This window comes from Homo sapiens, chromosome 2, assembly GCF_000001405.40.
Source record: "Homo sapiens chromosome 2, GRCh38.p14 Primary Assembly".
In the NCBI taxonomy this organism is placed as follows: Eukaryota; Metazoa; Chordata; class Mammalia; order Primates; family Hominidae; genus Homo; species Homo sapiens.
The window spans coordinates 216,301,545-216,326,593 of record NC_000002.12 but is presented as its reverse complement, the minus strand read 5'-3'; the positions used below and the strand labels follow the sequence as shown (position 1 = coordinate 216,326,593).

The 25,049-nt window shown below is 41.6% G+C and overlaps 1 protein-coding gene and 1 long non-coding RNA gene across 4 annotated transcripts in view, besides 3 other annotated features; one reads left to right on the top strand and one right to left on the bottom strand.

Moving 5' to 3' along the window:
• Positions 1-25,049, top strand: part of MARCHF4 (membrane associated ring-CH-type finger 4) — a 114,619-nt gene that overhangs the window by 45,890 nt on the left and 43,680 nt on the right. The window lies entirely within an intron of this gene.
• Positions 2,496-23,286, bottom strand: MARCHF4-AS1 (MARCHF4 antisense RNA 1). 3 transcript variants are annotated; one of them, XR_001739876.2, is made up of 4 exons: positions 22,935-23,286; positions 8,446-8,516; positions 6,598-6,897; positions 2,506-5,025 (listed from the first exon to the last, which is right to left on the bottom strand). It is a non-coding gene; the product is annotated as an MARCHF4 antisense RNA 1 (long non-coding RNA). The 3 variants fall into 3 exon arrangements; XR_001739878.2 differs by having other exon boundaries at positions 3,184-5,025; positions 22,940-23,286; XR_001739877.2 differs by lacking the exon at positions 6,598-6,897 and having other exon boundaries at positions 2,496-5,025.
• Positions 6,423-7,154: an enhancer, noted in NCBI's record as "OCT4-NANOG-H3K27ac hESC enhancer chr2:217184163-217184894 (GRCh37/hg19 assembly coordinates)". NCBI's record gives its function as "activates a minimal SCP1, AML or CMV promoter by ChIP-STARR-seq in primed H9 embryonic stem cells {active_cell/tissue: H9 hESC(primed)}" and the evidence as "EXISTENCE:reporter gene assay evidence [ECO:0000049][PMID:30033119]".
• Positions 7,155-7,886: an enhancer, noted in NCBI's record as "H3K27ac hESC enhancer chr2:217183431-217184162 (GRCh37/hg19 assembly coordinates)". NCBI's record gives its function as "activates a minimal SCP1, AML or CMV promoter by ChIP-STARR-seq in primed H9 embryonic stem cells {active_cell/tissue: H9 hESC(primed)}" and the evidence as "EXISTENCE:reporter gene assay evidence [ECO:0000049][PMID:30033119]".
• Positions 9,907-11,106: an enhancer, noted in NCBI's record as "CDK7 strongly-dependent group 2 enhancer chr2:217180211-217181410 (GRCh37/hg19 assembly coordinates)". NCBI's record gives its function as "activates an origin of replication core promoter dependent on BRD2, BRD4, P300/CBP, MED14 and CDK7 cofactors, with strong dependence on CDK7, by STARR-seq in HCT116 cells {active_cell/tissue: HCT116}" and the evidence as "EXISTENCE:reporter gene assay evidence [ECO:0000049][PMID:35650434]".

Below are 25,049 nucleotides of genomic sequence, written 5' to 3'. Positions count from 1 at the left end.
TTCTTAATCCAGTCTATCATTGTTGGACATTTGGGTTGGTTCCAAGTCTTTGCTATTGTGAATAATGCCGCAATAAACATACGTGTGCATGTGTCTTTAAAGCAGCATGATTTATAGTCCTTTGGGTATATACCCAGTAATGGGATGGCTGGGTCAAATGGTATTTCTAGTTCTAGATCCCTGAGGAATGGCCACACTGACTTCCACAATGGTTGAACTAGTTTACAGTCCCACCAACAGTGTAAAAGTGTTCCTATTTCTCCACATCCTCTCCAGCACTTGTTGTTTCCTGACTTTTTAATGATCGCCATTCTAACTGGTGTGAGATGGTATCTCATTGTGGTTTTGATTTGCATTTCTCTGATGGCCAGTGATGGGGAGCATTTTTTCATGTGGTTTTTGGCTGCATAAATGTCTTCTTTTGAGAAGTGTCTGTTCATGTCCTTCGCCCACTTTTTGATGGGGTTGTTTGTTTTTTTCTTGTAAATTTGTTTGAGTTCATTGTAGATTCTGGATATTAGCCCTTTGTCAGATGAGTAGGTTGCGAAAATTTTCTCCCATTTTGTAGGTTGCCTGTTCACTCTGATGGTAGTTTCTTTTGCTGTGCAGAAGCTCTTTAGTTTAATTAGATCCCATTTGTCAATTCTGGCTTTTGTTGCCATTGCTTTTGGTGTTTTAGACATGAAGTCCTTGCCCATGCCTATGTCCTGAATGGTAATGCCTAGGTTTTCTTCTAGGGTTTTTATGGTTTTAGGTCTAACGTTTAAGTCTTTAATCCATCTTGAATTGATTTTTGTATAAGGTGTAAGGAAGGGATCCAGTTTCAGCTTTCTACATGTGGCTAGCCAGTTTTCCCAGCACCATTTATTAAATAGGGAATCCTTTCCCCATTGCTTGTTTTTCTCAGGTTTGTCAAAGATCAGATAGTTGTAGATATGTGGCGTTATTTCTGAGGGCTCTGTTCTGTTCCATTGATCTATATCTATATACCAGTACCCTGCTGTTTTGGTTACTGTAGCCTTGTAGTATAGTTTGAAGTCAGGTAGTGTGATGCCTCCAGCTTTGTTCTTTTGGCTTAGGATTGACTTGGCAATGCGGGCTCTTTTTTGGTTCCATATGAACTTTAAAGTAGTTTTTTCCAATTCTGTGAAGAAAGTCATTGGTAGCTTGATGGAGATAGCATTGAATCTGTAAATTACCTTGGGCAGTATGGCCATTTTCACAATATTGATTCTTCCTACCCATGAGCATGGAATATTCTTCCATTTGTTTGTATCCTCTTTTATTTCATTGAGCAGTGGTTTGTAGTTCTCCTTGAAGAGGTCTTTCACATCCCTTTTAAGTTGGATTCCTAGGTATTTTATTCTCTTTGAAGCAATTGTGAATGGGAGTTCACTCATGATCTGGCTCTCTGTTTGTCTCTTGTTGGTGTATAAGAATGCTTGTGATTTTTGTACATTGATTTTGTATCCTGAGACTTTGATGAGGTTGCTTATCAGCTTAAGAAGATTTTGGGCTGAGACAATGGGGTTTTCTAGATATACAGTCATGTCGTCTGCAAACAGGGACAATTTGACTTCCTCTTCTCCTAATTGAATACCCTTTATTTCCTTCTCCTGCCTAATTGCCCTGGCCAGAACTTCCAACACTATGTTGAATAGGAGTGGTGAGAGAGGGCATCCCTGTCTTGTGCCCGTTTTCAAAGGGAATGCTTCCAGTTTTTGCCCATTCAGTATGATATTGGCTGTGGGTTTGTCATAGATAGCTCTTATTATTTTGAGATACGACCCATCAATACCTAATTTATTGAGAGTTTTTAGCATGAATGTTGTTGAATTTTGTCAAAGGCCTTTTCTGCATCTATTGAGATAATCATGTGGTTTTTGTCTTTGGTTCTGTTTATATGCTGGATTACATTTATTGATTTGCATATATTGAACCAGCCTTGCATCCCAGGGATGAAGCCCACTTGATCATGGTAGATAAGCTTTTTGATGTGCTGCTGGATTCGGTTTGCCAGTATTTTATTGAGGATTTTTGCATCGATGTTCATCAAGGATATTGGTCTAAAATTCTCTTTTTTGGTTGTGTCTCTGCCCGGCTTTTGTATCAGGATGATGCTGGCCTCATAAAATGAGTTAGGGAGGGTTCCCTCTTTTTCTATTGATTGGAATAGTTTCAGAAGGAATGGTACCAGTTCCTCCTTGTACCTCTGGTAGAATTCGGCTGTGAATCCATCTGGTCCTGGACTCTTTTTGGTTGGTAAGCTATTGATTATTGCCACAATTTCAGCTCCTGTTATTGGTCTATTCAGAGATTCAACTTCTTCCTGGTTTAGTCTTGGGAGAGTGTATGTGTCGAGGAATTTATCCATTTCTTCTAGATTTTCTAGTTTATTTGCATAGAGGTGTTTGTAGTATTCTCTGATGGTAGTTTGTATTTCTGTGGGATCGGTGGTGATATCCCCTTTATCATTTTTTATTGCGTCTATTTGATTCTTCTCTCTTTTTTTCTTTATTAGTCTTGCTAGCGGTCTATCAATTTTGTTGATCCTTTCAAAAAACCAGCTCCTGGATTCATTAATTTTTTGAAGGGTTTTTTTGTGTGTCTATTTCCTTCAGTTCTGCTCTGATTTTAGTTATTTCTTGCCTTCTGCTGTCTTTTGAATGTGTTTGCTCTTGCTTTTCTAGTTCTTTTAATTGTGATGTTAGGGTGTCAATTTTAGATCTTTCCTGCTTTCTCTTGTGGGCATTTAGTGCTATAAATTTCCTTCTACACACTGCTTTGAATGCGTCCCAGAGTTTCTGGTATGTTGTGTCTTTGTTCTCGTTGGTTTCAAAGAACATCTTTATTTCTGCCTTTATTTCATTATGTACCCAGTAGTCATTCAGGAGCAGGTTGTTCAGTTTCCATGTAGTTGAGTGGTTTTGAGTGAGTTTCTTAATCCTGAGTTCTAGTTTGATTGCACTGTGGTCTGAGAGATAGTTTGTTATAATTTGTGTTCTTTTACATTTGCTGAGGAGTGCTTTACTTCCCAGTATGTGGTCAATTTTGGAATAGGTGTGGTGTGATGCTGAAAAAAATGTATATTCTGTTGATTTGGGGTGGAGAGTTCTGTAGATGTCTATTAGGTCTGCTTGGCGCAGAGCTGAGTTCAATTCCTGGGTATCCTTGTTGACTTTCTGTCTCGTTGATCTGTCTAATGTTGACAGTGCAGTAGATACTATTATTATCTCCATTTTACCAAGTGCTGAAACTGAAATTCAGGGTGATAAAATTACATACAAACCTCTCCAACTGGTATCTGGAAGAGCCATATCTTGCATTTCAGATTGAAGGACTCCAGGGCCCAGATTCTTACCCACTCATTTGGATGATTGCAAAAAAGGAGAAAATTAATTACTATAAGCTTAAGGAGGTTGAGAGAATGTAAATATAACTTACTAGGGTATCAGTTTGAACATCTAATGAGGAACACACTTTGCTTATTCAATATTAGGTACACTCATTCAGAAAACCCAAGCCTCTCAGAGAATTACCATTGGATTCTTATGGGCAAGGTGATCAAACTCCATACAAGAGGAAAAAGGTTCTTCTGAGGCATTAGTAGCTTCTTTCCAAGAAAAATTACAACTTTCTTGGCCTTAATAGTAAATAGCTTTGTTTTCTAACAGGACATCTTATGGTATAATGTTTCCATGTTCAACAAAATGCACTCTGACCCACCCAGCTGGGTCACCTGTGTATCTTGAGACCGGTTCTTTTTTTTGAGACGGAGTCTCGCTCTGTCGCCCAGGTGACAGTAGTGCAATGGCAGGATCTTGGCTCACTGCAACCTCCACCTTCTGGGTTCAAATTATTCTCCCACCTCAGCCTCCCTAGTAGCTGGGACTACAGGCACCCACCACCGCACCCGGCTAATTTTTGTATTTTTAGTAGAGATGGGGTTTCGCCATGTTGGCCAGGCTGGTTTCGAACTCCTGATCTCAGGTGATCCGCCTGCCTCGGCCTCCCAAAGTGTTGAGATTACAGGCGTGAGCCACCGTGCCTGGCCGAGACCAGTTCTTAATCCGATAATCTGATGACTGCTAAGACCCTCCACAGCAAAAGTGTGTATGCACACATACATGCAAAATAATACTGTAATTTCAGGAGGTTCACAGGTCCCCTGAAGGTCACTGATGGACCCCCTAGTTAACAACATTTGCTATAAACCAGAATTGGGCCAGATTCCAGGGATAACCAAGCCAGCCTTCAAATTCTCTGATTATTCCAGGCAACTTATCACCAGTGGGCCAATCGTCTGGTTTTAATTTTCTTCTCTCCTAATGACTTGAGGTCCACCTCTTGCTTTTTCATTATCTCCTGGTAAGTTGGTCCTGCTAAACACATTTTAGGAGATGCTGCCTTTGTTGGTTCTCATTCTTGTTACCCACCTTGGACTTCTGTAGACATCTTTGGCAATTCAGTTATTTACCAGGACACACACACACACACATCCCCTTAAGTATACCTCATTGTGCACAATGCTTGCGGTCAGTTTAGTCCTCATTTCACAGCCATTTCAGTCACAGCAACTTGTAAAACAAAGGTCTATTCACAGGTCCACCATGTGTGGATGTTCAGGTTGTTCATTGGAGAAGAGTAGCTGGTTTGGGTTGGAGAAGCTAGTCACTGCAATAGAAATTGAGCCCATGCTCTCCTCCTCAAGCAAGATGCCCAAGGCTGATTCTTCCTGGAGGAATGGGCTTCTTTTTCTGAGTCATACAAATGCAGTATATGGGACAACAGCACTCCCGCCTGATTAGTAGTATCACCAAGAAGTCCAGAAGACATATTGGAAGATAAAATACCAATATCCCTATTCTGATTTTGTATCACCAGTCACCAGTCACTTTGTCTCTTCTTTCTTTTCAATGAAAGTGTTCCCAGGGCTACATTTGCTTGGAAGAAGGAGACCTGAAGGATCCATTGCCTGTATTGCCCATCTCCATTTAACAAGATTCAGGTTTCCGCTATGGCAAGCTGAGAGGGAGAAAGGACAGAATGGGTGGATTATTCCATTAGCATTTTCCCTCCCCTCTTTGCCAACTCAGTTCCTAGCCATCATTCATATCTTGGCTCAAGCATCATTCCTTCAAGGACCGACCAATCCCCTCTTACAGCACCACATTTCTGTCTTGCATTGAACTTAACCACCATTGCAATTTCATGTTATTTTAGATATTATGGATATACATATGTTAATTGTATATATATCCATACACCTCAAAATGATGAGCTTCATGAGAGTGGGGGCCATTCTATTTGTATTTACCATTGCATTCCTATTGCCTGGCACATAGTCGGTATCTAATTTAATATTTGTTTGACTGAATGAATGGATGGGAGGTAATTAGTCCAGATTGTGAGAAGCCCTGGAGTCTTGACTGAAGAGTTAAGAGTTTCCTACAGACAGTAGGAAGCCTATTTTCTGGGCTAAAAGAACTTCTTGTCTCGCTCCAAAGTTCTAGTTTTGAACTGTGTATTATAGCTCTGGCATTCCAACATCATTATTCTTCACTCTTACTCAACTTCAGAGAAATTTTGCAAAATCTTACTTAAAGAAAAAGAGGCATCTGGGTGCGGTGGCTCTGCTTGTAATCCCAGCACTTTGGGAGGCCGAGGCAGGTGTATCACGAGGTCAGGAGTTCGAGACCAGACTGACCAACATGGTGAAACCCCGTCTCTACTAAAAATACAAAAAAAAAAAAAAAAAAGCCAGGCATGGTAGTGCATGCCTGTAATCCCAGCTACTCAGGAGGCTGAGGCAGGAGAATCATTTGAACCTGGGAGGCAGAGGTTGCAGTGAGCCGAGATCGCGCCATTGCACTCCAGCCTGGGTGACAGAGTGGGACTCCATCTCAAAAAAAAAAAAAGAAAGAAAGAAAGAAAGAAAGAAAGAAAGAAAGAAAGAAAGAAAGAAAGAAAGAAAGAAAGAAAGAAAAAGAGGCTATAGCTCTACAACCTTATCTGCTATGAGAGGCTGCATAATAGGGTAGTGGCTTAAAACATGGGCCTTGGAATTGGGTAGACATTGGTTTTAAACCTGGGTTGCCCATTTGCTGGCTGTGTGATTTTAAGTAAATGATTTCATGCCTCAAAGCCTCAGTTGCTTCAATCTGTAAATGGGGATAATAATATCTTCCCCAAAGGATTGAATGAGTTAAGCAATGTGAAATGCTTATTAGAGAACCTGGCCTTTAGTAAGGACTCAATCACTGGAAGTGTTTATTATTCACTAAACTGGATCCTCATAAGAGAGGCAGGGAATAAAGCACCCATAGGAACTGGGTCAAAAAGAGTTAATACATGGCATCCTTCTTTCTTATTTGCTTCTCAGAAAATATGGAAGGAGTAATACCTTAACAGCTGATATAGTTTACGGGTTTGTTTAATAATGAGTCCCTTATGTTCCCTAAATATATCTTTGTGTCTTACAGTAATCTTAGTTCTGTGGCAGATTTTTTACTTTCCCTTTAACACCACCCATCACACTGGGGAGAGGAAGAAACACTCAACCAAGGCATTGACTAATGATTCAGCTTCTAAACTCACAGAAACATCCAGATTGGAGGAGCATGTCAAGGACCAGCCAGGCAGCAAGTGAAGGCTCTGGTGAGGAATGTGGCTTTCTAGATGACAATGGCAAGTGCTGTTTGTGAGGGCAGGCCAAGCAGTTGGGGGTATTAGTTCTATCATCCTGAGAGTAGTGAGCCTGGGAAGTTTGGCATCTCAGTCCTTGTGGAAGGAGGCAGTTTGAGTGACGGGCTGGGGATGTAAATCCCAGCATCTAGTGTAGATTTCCTTATTCAATCCTGTTTCTCCCATTACCAGTTTCAGCAGAAAATCCAGAGCCTGAAGTCAAAGAAGAGGCTTATTATGTTTCCCAAGAGACCAATAAAAGTTTCTATAGCTTCTGTGCTCAAAATCATAGTATTTCTTTAATTATCAAACTCTCTATAGGGCATGAATAATTTGAAAATTGCAAAACTCTAAGAATGAGGTAAAGAAATTAGGATTATATTGACTTGCTTCAGGTAGGGCCTGGATAGTTTCTTATTCTCTTGCTCTAGACAGGACATGTAACCTGTCTCAAGAGGTTCATTTCATTGATTCCACGAGCATTTATGAGTGTCTGCCGTGCACTGGGTACAATTCCAAACACTGGGGATACAGAAGCACCCCCTGTCCATTGCCCCTGTGGTGGTAGATTTGTGTTTGTTTTGTTTTGTTTTGTTTTGTTTTAGATGGAATCTCACTCTGTTGCCCAGGCTGGAATGCAGTGGCACGATTTCGGCTCACTGCAATCTCTGCTTCTTGGGTTTAAGCGATTCTCCTGCCTCATCCTCCCAAATAGCTGGGATTACAGGCACCCGCCACCACACTGGGCTAATTTTTGTATTTTTAGTAGAAACAGGGTTTCACCGTGTTGGCCAGGCTGGTTTTGAACTCCTGACCTCAAGTGATCCGCCTGCCTCAGCCCCGCAAAGTGCCGGCATTACAGATGTGAGCCACCGCACCCGGCAGGTAGATTTGTTTTAAGGTAAATATATTTCATATTCCAGAATTATTTCAGCAATCACAAATTCTTTTCTTTTTTGAAAAAAGAAAAGAAAATCCATAATCCTACCTCCCCTACATAGACTGCTTTCATTTTTGTGTGTCCCTTTTCTGAAATCTGTGTCTTTAAAATCCCCTAAAGAAGTAGCTTTGATGATTTTTTCTTAGTCACATCATTAAAGTTTGGGGGTGAGGAAAATCTCTTTAGCTGTAAGCGCTTTCTGTGTGTTAACCCAAAGTCCCATCATGACAGCAAGGCCCTGGGCAGTGGAGCCCCTGGCACCTCTCTGATTTCATTTCCTGCCATTCTCATTCACGGCAGCCTCTTTTCTCACATCAGCCTGCTCCTACCTCAGGGCCTGTGAACTTGCCCTCCTCCCTGTCTGGTCTTCCCTCTGATATTCACACAGTTCACTCCCTCACTTCCTTCCAGTCTCTGCTCAAATTTCATCACCTAAGGCTTTCCCTGAACCCCTCTGGTACTTTCCATTGCTCTCCATCCCTTTATTGAGATTTAATTATCTTCATAGCACTTATGACCCCCTCCCATATATATTTTGAAATTACCTGTTTATTAAAGTCTATCTTGTCCTGCTGGAATGAGTCCCCTGAGAGCAAGGGCTTTGTTTGATTTGTTCACTGCTACATCCCCGTCCCCTACAGCAGTTGGCTGGCCTGGGAGGGGCGTTCGTTTGCCCGCTTAAGGATGCTTTCTGCTTCGGCTCCCTTTCCCTTACATTTTGCTCAACAGAGGTGGTGAGGAACTGCCTGCTTCCCTTGCTGTAACATTCATTTAAGGATGACCTGTGCCAAGGTAAGGAAAACTTAGATCGAGGCACTAACCTGCAGAACCTTGAGAGTAAAGACATGAAGGCAACTCTGTTTTCTGCTGGTGACTTGAATCGAGCTTCCTGCTGTAAGAAGGAAAGATTCTGCAATGAGCAACATGCTTTCATTTCCACAGCTTGTATCTAAGATCAGCCTCGGAAGCGCTGGTTGCATTTGCTTGGAAGAACTCTTGTTTTCCTAGTAATCTTCACACCTACTCCCTTTACCTTCTCAGTGTCAGACAGCTGGCACAATGGCTGAGATCTTTCTATTGTCCTCCATCAGCACAAACTGTCCTGGAATTGCAGAATTCTCTGATAGTCAATGTGTCCACTGTTTACTCTTCCATTCATATCCTTCACGCCATCACCACACGACCCGGTCATATGCTTTCTCTACTTTACCCGCTTATAGAGAGGTGTAAAAAAAGCTTGCTTTAAAAGGATTAGGGGCTGGGCATGGTGGCTCATGCCTGTAATCCCAGCACTTTGGGAGGCCAAGGGGGGTGGATCACTTGAGGTCAGGAGTTCGAGACCAGTGTGGCCAACATGGCGAAACCCCATCTCTACTAAAAATACAAAAATTAGCCAGGCGTTGTGGCTTGTACCTGTAATCTCAGCTACTTGAGAGGCTGAGACATGAGATCACTTGAACCCAGGAGGTGGAAGGTTGCAGTGAGCCAAGATCACACCACTGCACTCCAGCCTGGGCGACAGAGTGAGACCCTGTTTCTAAAAAAAAACAAAAAAGGATTAGGAAGCTGATGTTGCATGTGGGCACCCAAATTGGCTCCTCATGGGAGGAGAGGGGGTTTAGTTGGATTTAATGTTTTAGAGCCCAACCTTCCTGCTGCATTTCCCTGACAAGATATGATAAAAGCTAAATACACATAAAAATATTCCCATTACCCCAGAAACTTCTATGAGATAAGAAAATAACACTACCAACCAATGGCTCTGCCATAAGATAATTGTCCAGCAATGTATCACTGGAGAGCAGGTCCTCTATAAAGACGCCAATGAAAGAGTATGGCTTTGGGGGGTGGGGGCACTCATATCAGGCTTGGACTTGACAGGTTCAGAAGCCCCTTCCAGACCAGCTTGGGCTGAAGAGGTTAGAAGGTTGGAGAAGGTTGGAGAGTGCTCATCCTTTCCCTCCCTTGCAGGCAGTCCCCCTCTCCCACCTCATCCCATGCTGGTCATGCTTAGATTACTCAGACGTCCGTAGCCACTCCTGTTGAGCAAAATGTAAGGAATTCCCCCTTGGAGTCCTCTGATGTGCCCAGTGACTAGTCTCTCCTCATCCCTTATGCCAGGATTCTCAAAGTAAAGTGCACAGATCACCTGCTTCTCAATGACCTGGGGTACCTTTTTCAAAATGCAGATTTCTGGACAACACCTTGGACCTGCAGAATCAGAAGTTCTGGGGGTGGGGCAAGAAGTACATAGCAATTTAGGAACTTCTGTCTCAGTGTTCAGTTTTTACTTAGTACCTTGACACTACTCTTAGTTCCTGGCTCTACTGGTATAATTTTGGGATTTGGGGGTGTATCTATTTTTTTGTGCCTCAGTTCTTCTGACCCTGTCCCCGCACCCCTCTCCCGCCCCCCATTTCCCAGGACTGTGGACCTATTTCATTTCTTCAAGAATGAAATTTCCTTCTTCCACTATGCAATACCCCGTTCTAGAAATTTGCCTTTCATCTCTTTCCTTGAATCAGAGAGCTGCCCTGTTTTTGCAAGATTTTGCAGTCCTCAGCAATTTTCCCACATGTTCAAGAGGGACTAGGAGGAAGATAGGGCCTCCGTTTTAGAAAGGGGCGTGAGCAGGCAGGGACCCCACAGCAGGAAGCACAATTAAGAATGTTCTCAGCAGGAAGGCTGCTCTCCGGGAAGCACAGAGAGCTATCAGGACAAGTGACCTTTCTAATCATGCCTGACATTTCACAGCCTCGAAGGCGGAAGGACTGCCCTTATTCCGGAGGCGCAGTGTCGCGCTGTGTCACCCCCAGACACCTGCGTCTGAGCTGTGGTGACTCGGCCTCCAACCAGGCGATGAATCAGAGCAGCAAAGGGCTTTGTTTCCCTGGGAAAAGAGAAAACATTGAGCAGAGGGCTTATGTGGATGGTGACTGTGTCTAAACCAGGGATAGAAAGACCCTGATGGAGGATGTCGCCTCCCTTAGGGATTAGCCCTGCTCTGGAGGGCTCCAGTGATGCAGATCAGACAGACCTGCTCCCAGGAAGCGAAATAGATGGGATCCTCTTCCAGTTCCTTCTGGCCTAAGGCGACTGGGATGACTCACTTTTTACCCATCTCAGTAAGAAAACAGCTTAATTTTTTCTTAGTATAAACGGTAATGCACACTCATTCTAAAAAGGTCATATAAAATATAAAGATATAAAAAGTAAAAGTTACATGTAATCTCATCGCTTAGAGAAATCCATTGTTAACATTTTACGGACATTTCTATGCATATATATGGTATTTTAAAACGAAATACAGTCCCATTGAAAGTGCTGTTTTGTAAGCTGCACTTTTCTACTCAACATCTTGAAGGCATTTTCATGTCAGTAAAATATAAATTTAACAAAATTCTTCTTAATAACTTCACTGTATTCCATTGTATGAATATAGTCTCCTGAGGTTGTCTCTGATTTTAAATCATAATAGAATATAGTATAATGAACATCCTGATAGTTAAATTTTTCTGCAGAACTGAGGGTGCTTCCTTACAACAAATTCCTAGCAGCAGACTTGCTGAGTTGAAGAATATGTGTATTTTTAAAGCCTTTACTCTCTGTTTTCTAGAAAGGGTTATACCAATGCACATTCCCACCGACTAGCAGAGAATAGAATACTTGCTTCTCCATACTCTCCTTGATTCTGTGAATTACCATTCTTTTAAATCTCTGCCACTATCAGGAGTAAACAATAGCATGTCATTATTGTTCTAAGGTTTATGTCTCTATTTACTAAAGAAGATTTCCAATATTTATTGATTATTTGTGTTTCTTGTTTTGTGAATTTGCTTGACCTTTTTCCCCTTCTTTGGGAGTATTAAATTTTCTGATATTTAGTTTTAAGTACTTTCAATCTAGTAAGGACAATAATATATTGACATTCAAGTTATAATGATTTTTACCAGTTTACCATTTGTCTTTAGCTTTATGTGGTCTCTGCCATGAAGAATTTAAAAATTCTGATGTCGTCTGACTACTGTGGTTCCAGCTTTTTTTGGAGTCACATTTAGAAAGGGCTTCTCTGTTCCATGGTTGTAAAAATATTTATCTGTGTTTTCTTTCTAGCTCTGTCACCTCTCATGCTCTTCTTACCACTTGCCCTCTCTGCCTGGAATGATCTTCCTTTGCTCTTCAACCGAGTGGCTCCTTCTTATTCCTCAAATCTCAAATTAAATACCATCTGCTTAGAGAAGTCTTTCCTGGTTACATAACCTAAAGGAGGTTTCCCTAACCCTGGTCTTCTTTCTTTTAGCATCCTATTATTTTCCTTTTTAACTTTTATCAATAATTGTAGTTACAGGCCAAGCACGGTGGCTCTTGCCTGTAACCCCAGCACTTTGGGAGGCTGAGGCAGGTGGATCACTTAAGGCCAGGAGTTCAGGACCAGCCTGGCTAACATGGTGAAAACCCATCTCTACAAAAATACAAAAATTAGCTGGGCGTGGTGGCGTGTGCCTGTAATCCCAGCTACTCAGGAGACTGCAGTGGGAGAATTGCTTGAACCCTAGAGGCAGAGGTTGCAGTTAGCTGAGATTGCACCACTGCACTCCAGCCTGGGCAGTGGAGTGAGACTGTCTCAAAAAAAAAAAAAAAAAGTAGTTACATCATTTGTCTACTTATTTAATATATGCACCCCTAATTAGATTGTAAACTCTATGGAGGGCAGAAACCATATCTGTTTTTCATTTTAAGAACCTAACCTAGCAACTGGTACACAGTAGATGTACAAAAGACATTTGTTAAAAGTCATTGCATGCTAAATCCATCTAGAATTTATTCTGGTATAGGGGTAAACTAGAGATCTAATTTAAGTCTTTCCAAACAGTATCTTGTGATTATAACATACAACTACAATGCAGACTAGCTGTCTTATAATCCCCTTTCACCTGGCACTGAGAAGTTAGACCTAGGATGCAAGAGGGAAATAGAATCAATGGCTCTTCTTATTGCTGTTCTCCAGCCCCACTGTCTCTTCTCTCTGCAGTGACTTCCCTTTCTCCATTATTGCCTTAGCCCTAAGTGCTTCCCATAATGCTTATTTCAGGGCTTAGCCTAGAGTGGATCCTTAATTAATGGTATTTACTGGCTGACTCAAATCATTTAAATGGCAGGAGAATCAGATATCTTTAATGTGTTTCATACAATATTCACATCAGCCTTTGAAAGCCCTGAAAAAATCTATGCTCCTTTCACAATTCTGAGAAAGCAGATCTCTCTACACCCTTTCCTTTTCTAGGGATCATGTCTAATAGTTGTGAACAAGGTTGAAAGAGATGGAGAGCTGTCAGAGACAGAAAGAGGAAGATAGGGACACTTGCTTACATGTGATAGTAAAGTTTCAAGTGCCACCTCATGTTACATGCCATTTGCTCCTTCAAAACTGACCTGTGAAGTAGGTACGGGAGCTTTACAATCAGGCCTAGGGAAGCCATAACGTTTAGTCTTTAGAATTTAATATCAGTAATTTTTTCTAATTTGTGAAAGTAGCACACTAGGAATAAAATAGTAAAAGAATCAATTTTACTCCATTTAAAACCTGTTTTAATGAACTAGAAATGTTCAACTTTACTAATAATCAAAGGAATGCAACTTAAAAGAGAAATTAGATGCCATTTGCCTCTAAAATCAATGGAAGTCACATAGAGGAACCAAATTTATTCAATTTAAAAATTGTTTTATCAACATAGATCAATGGAACAGAATAGAGAACCCAGAAAAAAAGCCACATACCTACAACAAATTGACCTTTCACAAACTTGACAAAAATAAACAATGGGGAAAGGACACCCTATTCAGTTAATGGTGCTGGGATAATTGGCTAACAAGGTGCAGAAGAATGAAACTGGACCCCTCTCTCTCACCATACACAAAAATTAACTCAAGGTGGATTAAAGACTAAATGTAAGACTTGAAACTATAAAAATCCTAGAAGAAAGCCAAGAAAAAACTCCCTGGACATTGGTCTAGGCAGAGAATTTACAATGAAGATCCCAAAAGCAAAGCAACAAAACCAAAAACAGACAAATGGGACTTAGTTAAACCAAAAAAGCTTCTGCACAGCAAAATAAAATAATCAACAGAGCAAACAGACAACCTATAGAATGGGAGAAAATAATTGCAAATTATGCCTCTGACAAATGACTAATGTCCAGAACCTACAGGGAACTCAAATAACTCAACAAGAAAAACTCCATTAAAAACTGGGCAAAGGGCATGAATAGACATTTCTCGAAAGAAGACATCCAAGCAGCTAACAAACACACCAAAAAATGCTCAACATCATTAACCATCAGAGGAATGCAAATTAAAACCACAATGAGATATCATATTATACTAGTCAGAAAGGCTATTAGTAAAAAGTCAGAAAACAACAGATGGCATGGATATGGAGAAAAGGGAATGCTTATACACTGTTGGTGAGAATGAAGTTAGTTCAACCTCCACACTGTGTATCTACCCAAAGGAAAAGAAATCATTATGTTAAAAAAGACACCTGTACTTGTTTGTTCATCACAGCACTATTCACAATGTCAGAGTCATAGAACCAACCTAAGTGACTATCAGCAGCTGACTGGATAAAGAAAATGTGGTATATATACACCTTGGAATATTACATAGACATAAAAAGAATGAAATCATGTTCTTTGTAGCAACATGGATGAAGCCGGAAGCCATTATCCTAAGTAAAGGAACCCAGACACAGAAAACTACATGTTCCCAATTATAAATGGGAGTTAAACAATGGACACAAGTGGACATAAAGGTGGAAATAATAAGCACTGGGGACTCCAGAAGGTGGATAAGGGTTGAAAAATTATCTGATGGACACAATGTTCACTATTTGAGAAACAGATATGCTGGAAACTCAATCCCCACCAGTACACAATATACCCATGTAACAAACATGCGTATGTATTCTTGAATCTAAGTTAAAATAAAATTTAATAAAAAATTATTTCATCAAACCTAAAAACAAATCAACCTTATAATCAATGTATACAACTTAAAACAGCAATTGGATACCATTTGCTCCTAATACACTGATTACAATATAAAAATTATAATACCTAATCCTGAGCAGAAAGTGATAAGACAAGTGCTTCATACACTATGGATGGGAGAATAAATGGCTAAGTCGTTTCTGGGCTAGAATTTGCTAAGAAGATGCAAGAACCTTACAGAAGTCCTTACTCTTATGCAAGCCCATGGTCTGGTAATTTAAAATAATAATAAAAAAGGTTCTTACCCTACTGATTTCTAATCTTATTTCTATAAATTTTTACTAAAAATGTTCAAACTGTGGTTGTCTATTAAAGCAAAAATGTGAGGAAACCTAAGTGTTTAACAATAAAGACATGATTTACGGCCGAGTGCAGTGGCTCACACCTGTAATCCCAGCACTTTGGGAGGCCAAGGCAGGTGGGTCACTTGAGGCCATGAGTTTGAGACCAGCCTGCCCAACATGGTGAAACCCCATCTCTACTAAAAACACAAAAATTAACCAGGTGTGGTGACGCATGACTGTAATCCCAGCTACTCAGGAGGATGAGGCAGGAGAATCACTTGAACTTGGGAGGCGGAGGTTGCAGTGAGCTGAGATGGTGCCACTACACTCCAGCCTGGATGACAGAGTGAGACTCTGACAAAGTGAGATCCCCCCCACCCAAAAAAAAAGACATGATTTAAAAATTCAGACATGGACTATTATGGAGCCCTCACCAATAATATTTCCATGAATTACTTAATGGCATGGGATATGCTCCTGAATCTAATAAGTATTCAGAATTTGATTCTAAAGTTTATTTGAAAATTATGTTTATATTTGTATAGAGAAAAGATTAGAGGAGAGATAATAAGGTGCTAGCAGTGCTTATCTCTAGATGGTAGGATTGTAGGTAATATTTGGCTTCCTTCTTAATGTATTTGACTTCTTTATAATCCAATATATTACTATTTAATTTAAAATAATCCTTCCCCCACTCCTTCCCATCACTTGTGATGTTAATGTGGTCCTAGTCTATCCTCACTGAAGTATGGAATCCAGGAAAGGGGAGTAACAGACCTCCCATACTCCTATTTTGTCAGCCTAACACCTCTCTTGTGCAGGATGAAGCCCTGAATGCCACATGCCCCCAAAAGTAGATTAATAAAAACGTGACTGTAAGAAGAGACTTAAAACCATGTGACATGAAGAGTAGCTGGAATACATGGCAGGACCAGAAAGCCAGACTGGCTACCCACCACTACTTTGAAGGTTATCATGCAGCAGAGAGCAAGCTTACCCTGCATCACCCCAGAAGAGAGGGCCAGTGGCTAGAAATAACAGACAACTAGATTTTGATTCAGTTTAAGGAAGAACTGGCTGGGTATGATGGCTCACACCTGTAATCTTAATACTTTCAGAGGCTGAGGCAGGAGGATCGCTTGAGCCCAGGAGCTCAAGGCCAGTCCAGGCAACATAAGGAGAATGTCTATATAAATAATTTAGAAAAATTAGCTGGGCTTGGTGTCATGCACCTGTAGTCCCAGCTACTCGGGAGGCTGAGGGGGGAGGATTGCTTGAGCCCAGAAGGTTGAGGCTGCGGTGAGCTATGATCATGCCACTGCACTCCAGCCTGGGTGACAGAGTGAGACCCTACCTCAAAAAAAGAAAAGAAAAGAAAGAACTATCTAATGATTAGTACTGCCCCAAAGTGAAAGAGCAGCCTCAGCAAGGATGGAGACTCATCACTGGAGTCAAGGCTAGGTGACCACTTGGTAGCAAAGTTGAGAGGCGCCTGGCACCACTTGAGTGATTGCACTGGGTAGGTGCCTCCAGGGTCTCATCTAGGCCCAGTGGTTCTATACTTTGCCTATCATAAAATGGGAAGGATAATCCTAGAGTTATTAGTTTGTCATCATCCCCTCTTCTTGCCAGCTCCTCAGTTTTGAGCCAGAAGGCACCAAAGCCATTCTAGATAGGTGGTGTGTGTTTGTAGCTAGGATGGGATTGGGCTTCGGAATCAGGGAAATGGAGCTATATCAGTTAGAGCTCTTTTGGTTGAAAGGGGGCAGAAAGCCAAGTGGAACTACATCATGCAAAATAATAATTAAAAAAAGGAATTATACGAAAACAGGGAAGCTGAAGTGAATGGCTGCATGTGGTTACAGCTGAGGCCTCTCTTTCTATTTTCATCCCTTGGTCTGTGTAGCTGGGTCTAGCTCAGGTCTCTCCATGTGGAAGCAAGATGGTTTCCAAGTTTATCTTGTACTTGTAGCTCATAAACTCAGCTCAGACTAAAATAGTTTTTTCCAATAAAGCTTAAGTAAAATCCCTGGGAAGCCCTCCTCAGATGGTTTGGGTCATGTAACCCATTTCTAAACCAATCACTGTGTCCCAGGGTAGGAGTCTTCTGATTAGTTAGGCTGGGGTTATATGTACACCCTAGGAACTTGGATGTGGTAGGTGCAATTTAGCTTCACGTGGACCACGTGAGTTGAACAGGATAAGCAAAGGAAAGTGTCCTATGTCCACTATAGGGAGATCGTGCCTGTGTTAAAAATATTTTGGAAAAAGAGTTATACCAGCTGCCATGGTAATCTATTTCATGTCCATACCATCTGGTAATTCTACCTCTCTTCTAGCTTGAATTTCTCCTGCTATAATTTTCACCTGTCTTATTCTGTTCCAGCTTCAGGGTAGATGCAGATCAAAACCTCTTCCCTGAAAGACACACTGTGAGGATTAATTAGGTTTTTCCAGAAACCGTCTTTAAAGTGTCATGGGATCTTCAGAACCAAATGCTTTGTGAAGATATGTTGCCACTAGAATCAATTCTCCAGTTTTTATGCTTATAGGGGATTGGTGGTTGGGGTGAAGATTGACCAAAAGGCAAGGAGATGGAAATCTATAGCTAGTCCCAAGACTTCATTTTGACCATGATAACCATTCTCTTCCCTCTCCAAGTACTTTGCTTCTGCCGTTCACAAGGAGCAAACATGAAAACCATGAATAGGTTTGAATATCCACACCCTTCTTCGAAAAGAATAGGAAAAAAAGGGGAACAGGGGACCAGGAGTTGCTAAGCAGGTTGTATAATTAGAATCAAACCAGGATCAGACCCTGGAGGATTCACAGCTGGCTATGGCAGTGGCTTTCTATTTTTAGCTCAGGTTAATGAGCTATGAATGATATATAACTGTCTGGGCAGCACGCATACGTCATAGTCTGGGTTCCTGTATCAGTTTGCAAGATGTCTTTCTGAGGACTCTCAGGGGCAAATGCTGAGAAGCACAAGCAAGTTAGTGGAAGGATCACAACTCAGAGTTCCGGAAGCAGAGTGCAGGCCTGGCTTACAAGCCACACCTTAGGCAGTACCAGGCACACTGTAGGGCTCTTCTGTGCCATCTGCCTATATGGATTGCACAGGCCTATCATCAGCATTCAGCGTGGGTGATACAGGAAACAGATTCTAGGGAGTAAGGCCTGGAGTTCAGGATAGAGCTCCATGTGCCTGACTTTTTTTCTTTTCTCTTTTTGAGAGAGGGTCTGGCTCTGTTGCCCAGGCTGGAGTGCAGTGGCACCATCATGGCTCACTGGAAACTCTGCCTCCTTGGCTCAAGCCATCCTCTGAACAGCTTCTCAGCTAGCTGGGACTACAGTCACATACCACCAACCCCAGCTAATTTTTGTATTTTTGAGAGTTAGAGACAGGTTTTCACCATGTTACCCAGGATGCTCTCAAACTCCTGAGCTCAAGCGATCTGCCTGCCTCAGCCTCCCAAAGTGTTGGGATTATAGGCATGAACTACCGCACCCAGCCTTTTTGTCTTGTCTAAACACATATTTTCTCCAACTTTGAGGGTTTTCTTTGTTTTTGTTTTCTTGAGATAGGGTCTCGCTTTGTTACTCAGGCTGGAGTGCAGTGGCTCAATCATAGCTCACTGCAGCCTTGAACTCCTGGGCTCAAGCAATCCTCCCATGTCAGCCTTCTGGACAGCTGGGACTATAGATGCATGCCACCATGCCTAGCTAAGTTTTTTAAATTTTAAATTTTTCTGTAGAGATAGGGGTCTTGCCATGTTGCCCAGGCTAGTCTCAAAATCCTGGCCTCAAGCGCTCTTCCCACCTCAGCACCTAGGCATCAATAAGTATTTCATGAACGAATGAATGAATACATGGAAATGTGATCCTTTTCCCTTACCCTGCTCAACAAGTGGTTTCAACCTGTATTCAGTCGAGCTGTCACGGGGGCCTCCATGTGCTCTGGGAGAAGCCAAGCGGGCAGGGCTCAGGAAGCTGCCTATGTCCATGGAGATAAACAGCTCTCCTTTTATTTATTTTTCATATTGGCATTTATTCATAGGATACCTTTGGAGAAAAGATTCCAGTTCCAAAAAAAAACGTTGATTTGAAAATCACTTCCCTAGACCTTACCCCTCCCACCAGTTACCCCTTGCTCACTCCCATCTTTTCTTCCTACTTCCTTCCTCACAGAAACTTCCACAGAACTAATGCCTAGCAAGGGTTTAAAAATAGAAACCCCTCTCCCTCCCTCTATTCCTCCATTTCCTTTCCTTCCCACCCCCCTTGTAATTTGTTGTAAAAAAGGAAACTGTCTGGATGTGCTCCACTGAGAAACCATGCTCTTCCTTTCTAGATAAAACAACACTGATGGACTCCCTCAGCCAGCGGTTGAGCCCCTGTGAGTCCCTGCGGGGCTGCCTCCTTCAGGTTTCCCAGTTGGAACTCAGAGAGAGGCACACCTGAGAGGGCCCATCTAACGTGCTGGCCATGGGAGCTCCTTCCAGGTGGTTCCTGGGGCCGCTGTGGGACTCACCTACCAGGGCGGGAGGAGAGAGGAAGTCGTGCTGCTCCCAGGGTGAGGCCTGGAGCACAGTGGCAGTCTGTTGTGCTTTATTGGGAGCACAAAGGGGATGTGTGTGTGTATGTGTGTGTGTGTGAGAGAGAGAGAGAGGACAGGAGGTAGGCAAAAACAAGGCAAAATGTGTTATGAGATGCATGTACAGCCAGTGAACACAGTATACTTATGAATGAATTGAGAGACACTGGAAAAAATAGTACAGTAGGGGAAAAAAAAGGAGATTTTAACACCCAAAGTCCTGGTTTTTAATTCCCAGGTGTATCACAGAGTCTCTGTATGAGATTGGGCAAGTGACCTCATTTCTAGCCTCAGTTCACTTATCTATAAAATGGGGATAATAATATCCACCCCTCAACACTGCTGTAGGATTAAATGAGATAATGTTTACTTGATGCCCATATATACTGAGCAGTTAGTAACGTACCCTTGCTATAATATGGCAGGACACCTTCACTCTGATGATATTTAGAAGTATTCAATATAAGATAAAACTGATAGTGATCAAAACCACCCTCAGTTAAATGTATGGTTTATTAAAATCTGGCAGAAGATTATAATGTCTTGACAAAATTCAGATCTGCAAACTTTGATCTAGAAAAAAATAGATTTGGAAAGATTATAAAGACACACAATAAAGTCTTCATTGACAGAACTATAATTAGTAAATTTTGATACGGATCCAAAACTGATCAACTTATCAAGTGGTTAATGCCTATTTTACTTATAAAATGATTTATCCTGAGGAAAGTTTCAATAACATTAAATTAGAAATGGGAAAAAATGGAAACAATTTAACTGTTCTATATTTTAAAAGATTGATCAAAAATTAAATTGGCTAAAGAGAATTCTCTTTGGAGAATAGATTGTCAATGAGAGTTTATCAATGCAGATAAATTTCAATTAAAACTTTGCATGTATAATTTCAATTAAAACTTTGCATGTATAAATACAGAATCAAAATGTCCTTGGAGTTGAAATGGTGAACTCAGACAGTCTCTACAATGATGATAATTATGGTAATGATGATGACAATAATGATAATGACAACTATTATAAAAAAATGTTTTGGTGCAGGAGGGGTGGGGTGTGGTTAGGTAATGTGTTGGGATGTCCTGGTGAGAACAGAGAATGTTTAGATTAGATATGTGGGATGCCAAGGCAAGATGTGTGCCGTCCTTATGCCTCTTTATGTTTGAGGATTTATGTAATGTCATTCCTCCGACGGGCTGAGTACAGGGAGACGGTTGGCAAGGACAATCAGCCCTTGATTTCTTTTATATGACCAGGATGATGCAAGTTGCTCCATCTCCATATGGGCCTGTGATAAAAACCAGTCTGATTAGTGGAAGGCCAAAAACATGGATTCAGTGCTCTTGGCCATAGAGTCTGAGTCTGTGGGTGTGAACAGGTGCTGGCTTGGCTCAGGCAGTGAGGGCCTGCCCACCCATTCTGCTACTTTGAGTCTTTTGGCAGCTCCTTAGCACCCCAGGCTGGCTCTTTTGTCTCATGTTCTCTTCTTCTCTTCCTCTCTTCCATTCTTCTTGCCTCTGAAATTTTTGTCTTAGCGTTAGAGCCGGAGCAAGAAAGGTGATACTTAAGGTGAATAGGAATAAGGATTTATCCCAGAAGACAGAGGTGGGACAGGTGATGGAGGAAATCGCTGCAAAAGAGCATTCAAACTATAGACCATGACCACATGCACATTCAGACAGACCTGGTACACTTGAACCTTGAACTATACCTTATAACCTTGAACTTATACCCACCTATCTCCTTTCCTGGCTCCACATGCATACCGGACTCACCAATACAGACACACATCACCAGATATCCTGATTATCTTCACATTTTTAATAATGCCTCTTTGCCATGCCTTACACATAGTCCTGCCCTCCTGCAGCTTGTAATCTAATATTTATTCATTTCTCCAGCAAGCATTTGTTGATTGGAACAATTTTTTTTTTAATGCAGTGGGTACCCTTGTGAGGTAGTAAGCTTCCTGTCACTGAGAGGCTAGTGAATGATTAGGAATAGGATGCATGGGATGCTTGCATGCTGAATTGAATGACTTCCATGCAGTCTATGAATGTTTTCTTTTTTTTTTGAGACGGAGTCTCACTGTGTTGCCCAGACTGGAGTACAATGGCGTGATCTCGGCTCACTGCAACCTCCACCTCCTGGGTTCAAGCGATTCTCCTGCCTCAGCCTTCTGAGTAGTTGGGACTACAAACACATGCCACCATGCCTGGATCATTTTTGTATTTTCAGTAGAGATGGGGTTTCTCCATGTTAGCCAGGCTGGTCTCAAACTCCGGACCTCAGGTGATCCGCCCACCTCAGCCTCCCTATGAATGTTTTCTACATTGCCCTAGGGTCTCAGACAGACTTGACTGATGGAGATTTATAGAGCAAAAACAAAAATGGAATAAAAACAAAAATACATTATGTTGGCCTTATATACATTTTAGGAATGATGCATCTCCTATTTGGATGAGAGTGCAAGGAGAATTAGGACAAGAAGAGAAGAGGTGATCAACCTTAGGAGAAATTTTGGCCTGAGGGAAACCATTCAATTTGTCCTCGGTCATTACAAACAGCTTCTCTTTCCTCTATTGAGGGATCTAGGTGTCAGTTTTGCAAGTCTGGCACCTTGATTTAGTGGCCCTTTATCCCTGGGTATTCATATCCTGTGAAGTCATAATTCAAGCCAAGAAAACTAATAAGAAATCAAGATAGAGACCAGAAAGATGATTTATAGCTACAATTGAAGATGCTCCTTTTCAATACCTAGAATACTTATGTCCCCATGTCAAGGAAACTCATTCTAGAATCTATATGTATATATGAGAAGCCAAGTAAAAGTTAAGATGCATGAGGAAGTGAATCAGAAGCTCTTTATACATGATTTGGGGTGAGCAATAGAAATCTACCTTTTTCTACTCTAGGCAGCAAATCTTTCCAGTAACCTGAGTACCCCCATGACATGTCTCACCCTCTGTTGTGGTGCAGACACACAACCCTAAATTTCTCTTTCCAAGTTCCCTGTTTCAGGGTCCTGGGGTGGGTAGGAGGTTTCCAGTAGCTGTTGGTGCCATTTCCAGGTGACCTCTTGACCTGCCCATGAAGTGTGCTGCTCCCTTCCTTTACAAAGAACTCCTGCTTCTATGCCTTTGGCCTACCTCACCTTTAAGCAATTCCTGGAATCTGGTGTTGCTTTTCATCTACAGAACCTTTGTATAATTTATAAAATCTTTAAATATAAAAAACTGTCAGACTAGTAGAGATGATTTATCCAACATCCCATTTAACCAACGAGAAAAACAGCAGCTCACTTGGCAAGAGGAACAGACTTGCTCACTTGGCAGGTGGAGGGGACAGACTGAAAGCCAGGAACTTACCTAACCTTCCTCAGAGCTTGTTCTTCATCCTTTACACCATCAGAGATGCACCCACTTTGGGCATTGCGCTCTCTGCAGCACCAGCATTGGCTTCTGTAACTGCACTCCCAGTCAAGTGGCCCAGCCATACTTCATTTCAGGACCCTGGACATCAGGGAAAAAGCCAGCTCTGTCTCCAACAGCCCTGACCTATTACAGAACCAGAAAGTGTGAGAAAATTTATCCCTTGAAGGGATGAGCTGATTTGTGCAGTCAATTATCTCTTTAAATTGTTATCCTGCCCATTTCCCAAGCACTGATGATCCAGTTAAGAAAGATTAAGCACAGGAGCCTGGGCACCCAAGCATGATCTGAGGACCAGGTGTGGAAGGGAATGAGCTGTTTTCAATAGTGGGAGGCCTGTTCTGCCTTTTAAGGACAATGAACCAATGTCATCTTCCGCAAGCTCTTTTTTCCCAAAGGCCAAGGACTTCTGAGTGCTTTTCTAGGAGATGACGTTCTTGCCATTTTGGAGAGAACACTGTGCATTGTTCACATATTTTCTTCCCTATTTTCATTCCTATGTTCTGAGCTTAAACCAGGATGTTTTATTCCTCAATGAAGAGACAGGAAGTATGAATGGAGAAAGGAGCTGTGAGAGAAGAAATGGAATTGAGGTGTGATTTTGGGGGGATTACAAATTAGGATCCTTTATATCTTTATAAATACATCTTTATAATTACAAAATGCCATTTTCTTTTTTTTTTTTTTTTTTTTTTTTTTGATACAGAGTCTCACCTTGTCACCCAGGCTGGAGTGCAGTGGTGCTATCTTGGCTCACTGCAACCTCCACCTCCCAGGTTCAAGCGATTCTCCTGCCACAGCCTCTCAAGTAACTGTGATTACAGGCACCCACCACCACACCTGGTTAATTTTTGTGTTTTTAGTGGAGACGGGGTTTCATTGTGTTGGCCAGGCTGGTCTTGAACTCCTGACCTCAAGTGATCCGCCCACCTCAGCCTCCCAAAGTGTTGAGATTACAGGAATAAACCACCACACCCGGCCTAAAATTCCATTTTCAATGGTCCTCTTCAATGTATTGCTCACCTTCCTTACTGAGTTTGTGATGAACTTTCAATAAAAATTTGAAAATAGCCAGGCGCAGTGGCTCATGCCTGTAATCCCAGCACTTTGGGAGGCAGAGGCGGGTGGATCACGAGGTCAGGAGATAAATACCATCCTGGCTAACATGGTGAAACCCCGTCTCTACTAAAAATACAAAAAAAAAAAAAAAATTAGATGGGCGTGGTGGCAGGCGCCTGTAGTCCCAGCTACTTGGGAGGCTGAGGCAGGAGAATGGAGTGAACCCAGGAGGCGGAGCTTGCAGTGAGCCGAGATCACACCACTGCACTCCAGCCTGGGTGACAGAGCGAGACTCCGTCTCAAAAAAAAAATTTTTTTTTGAAAATAAATATCAAAATGCACAATAAAAACAAAACTGCTTACTTGTTCTAAGTAATGGTTTATTGCTGTGAGTTTTAAAGTATTAATGAAGTAGAGTTTACTGCAAATTTTGAATTTTTATCAAGCTTCTGTCTCACAAAATAGTTTCCTGAAAGCAATGATTTTGCTTGCGTTTTTTTGTTGTTCTGCTTTGCTTTTTGCCAACAGATTTACTATACCACTAGGTTGACAGAGCTTGGGTGGGTCAATGACTGGTCCCACTTCTCTATGTCACTTCACTAGAAGGAATCACGAAGACATGTTTATTAAGACTCTGCACTATTCTAAGCTCTTTACATCTCATTATTCTTTCCAAAAGCCTTATTAGATCAGCAATACTGTTGCCCTCATTTTAATAATTAGAAAACTAAGGCACCAAGAGGTTAAGTAATTTGTCCAACATTCTCCAAAAACCACATGCATCATTGTACATTTATGCTAAAAAGCTATATTGTCTTGTTTTTCATAGTCTCATCTATTGACCTTCACATGTCATTCTTTTCTATATTTGTGTTCCAGAAATTGCCATGGCAGAAAGGACATACTCATTACCATGAGAACAACTTTTCCCTAAGCATAGTTAGATTAATTTATTTGAGTGAAATAAATTCACATTGCTCTGAAACAACAGTA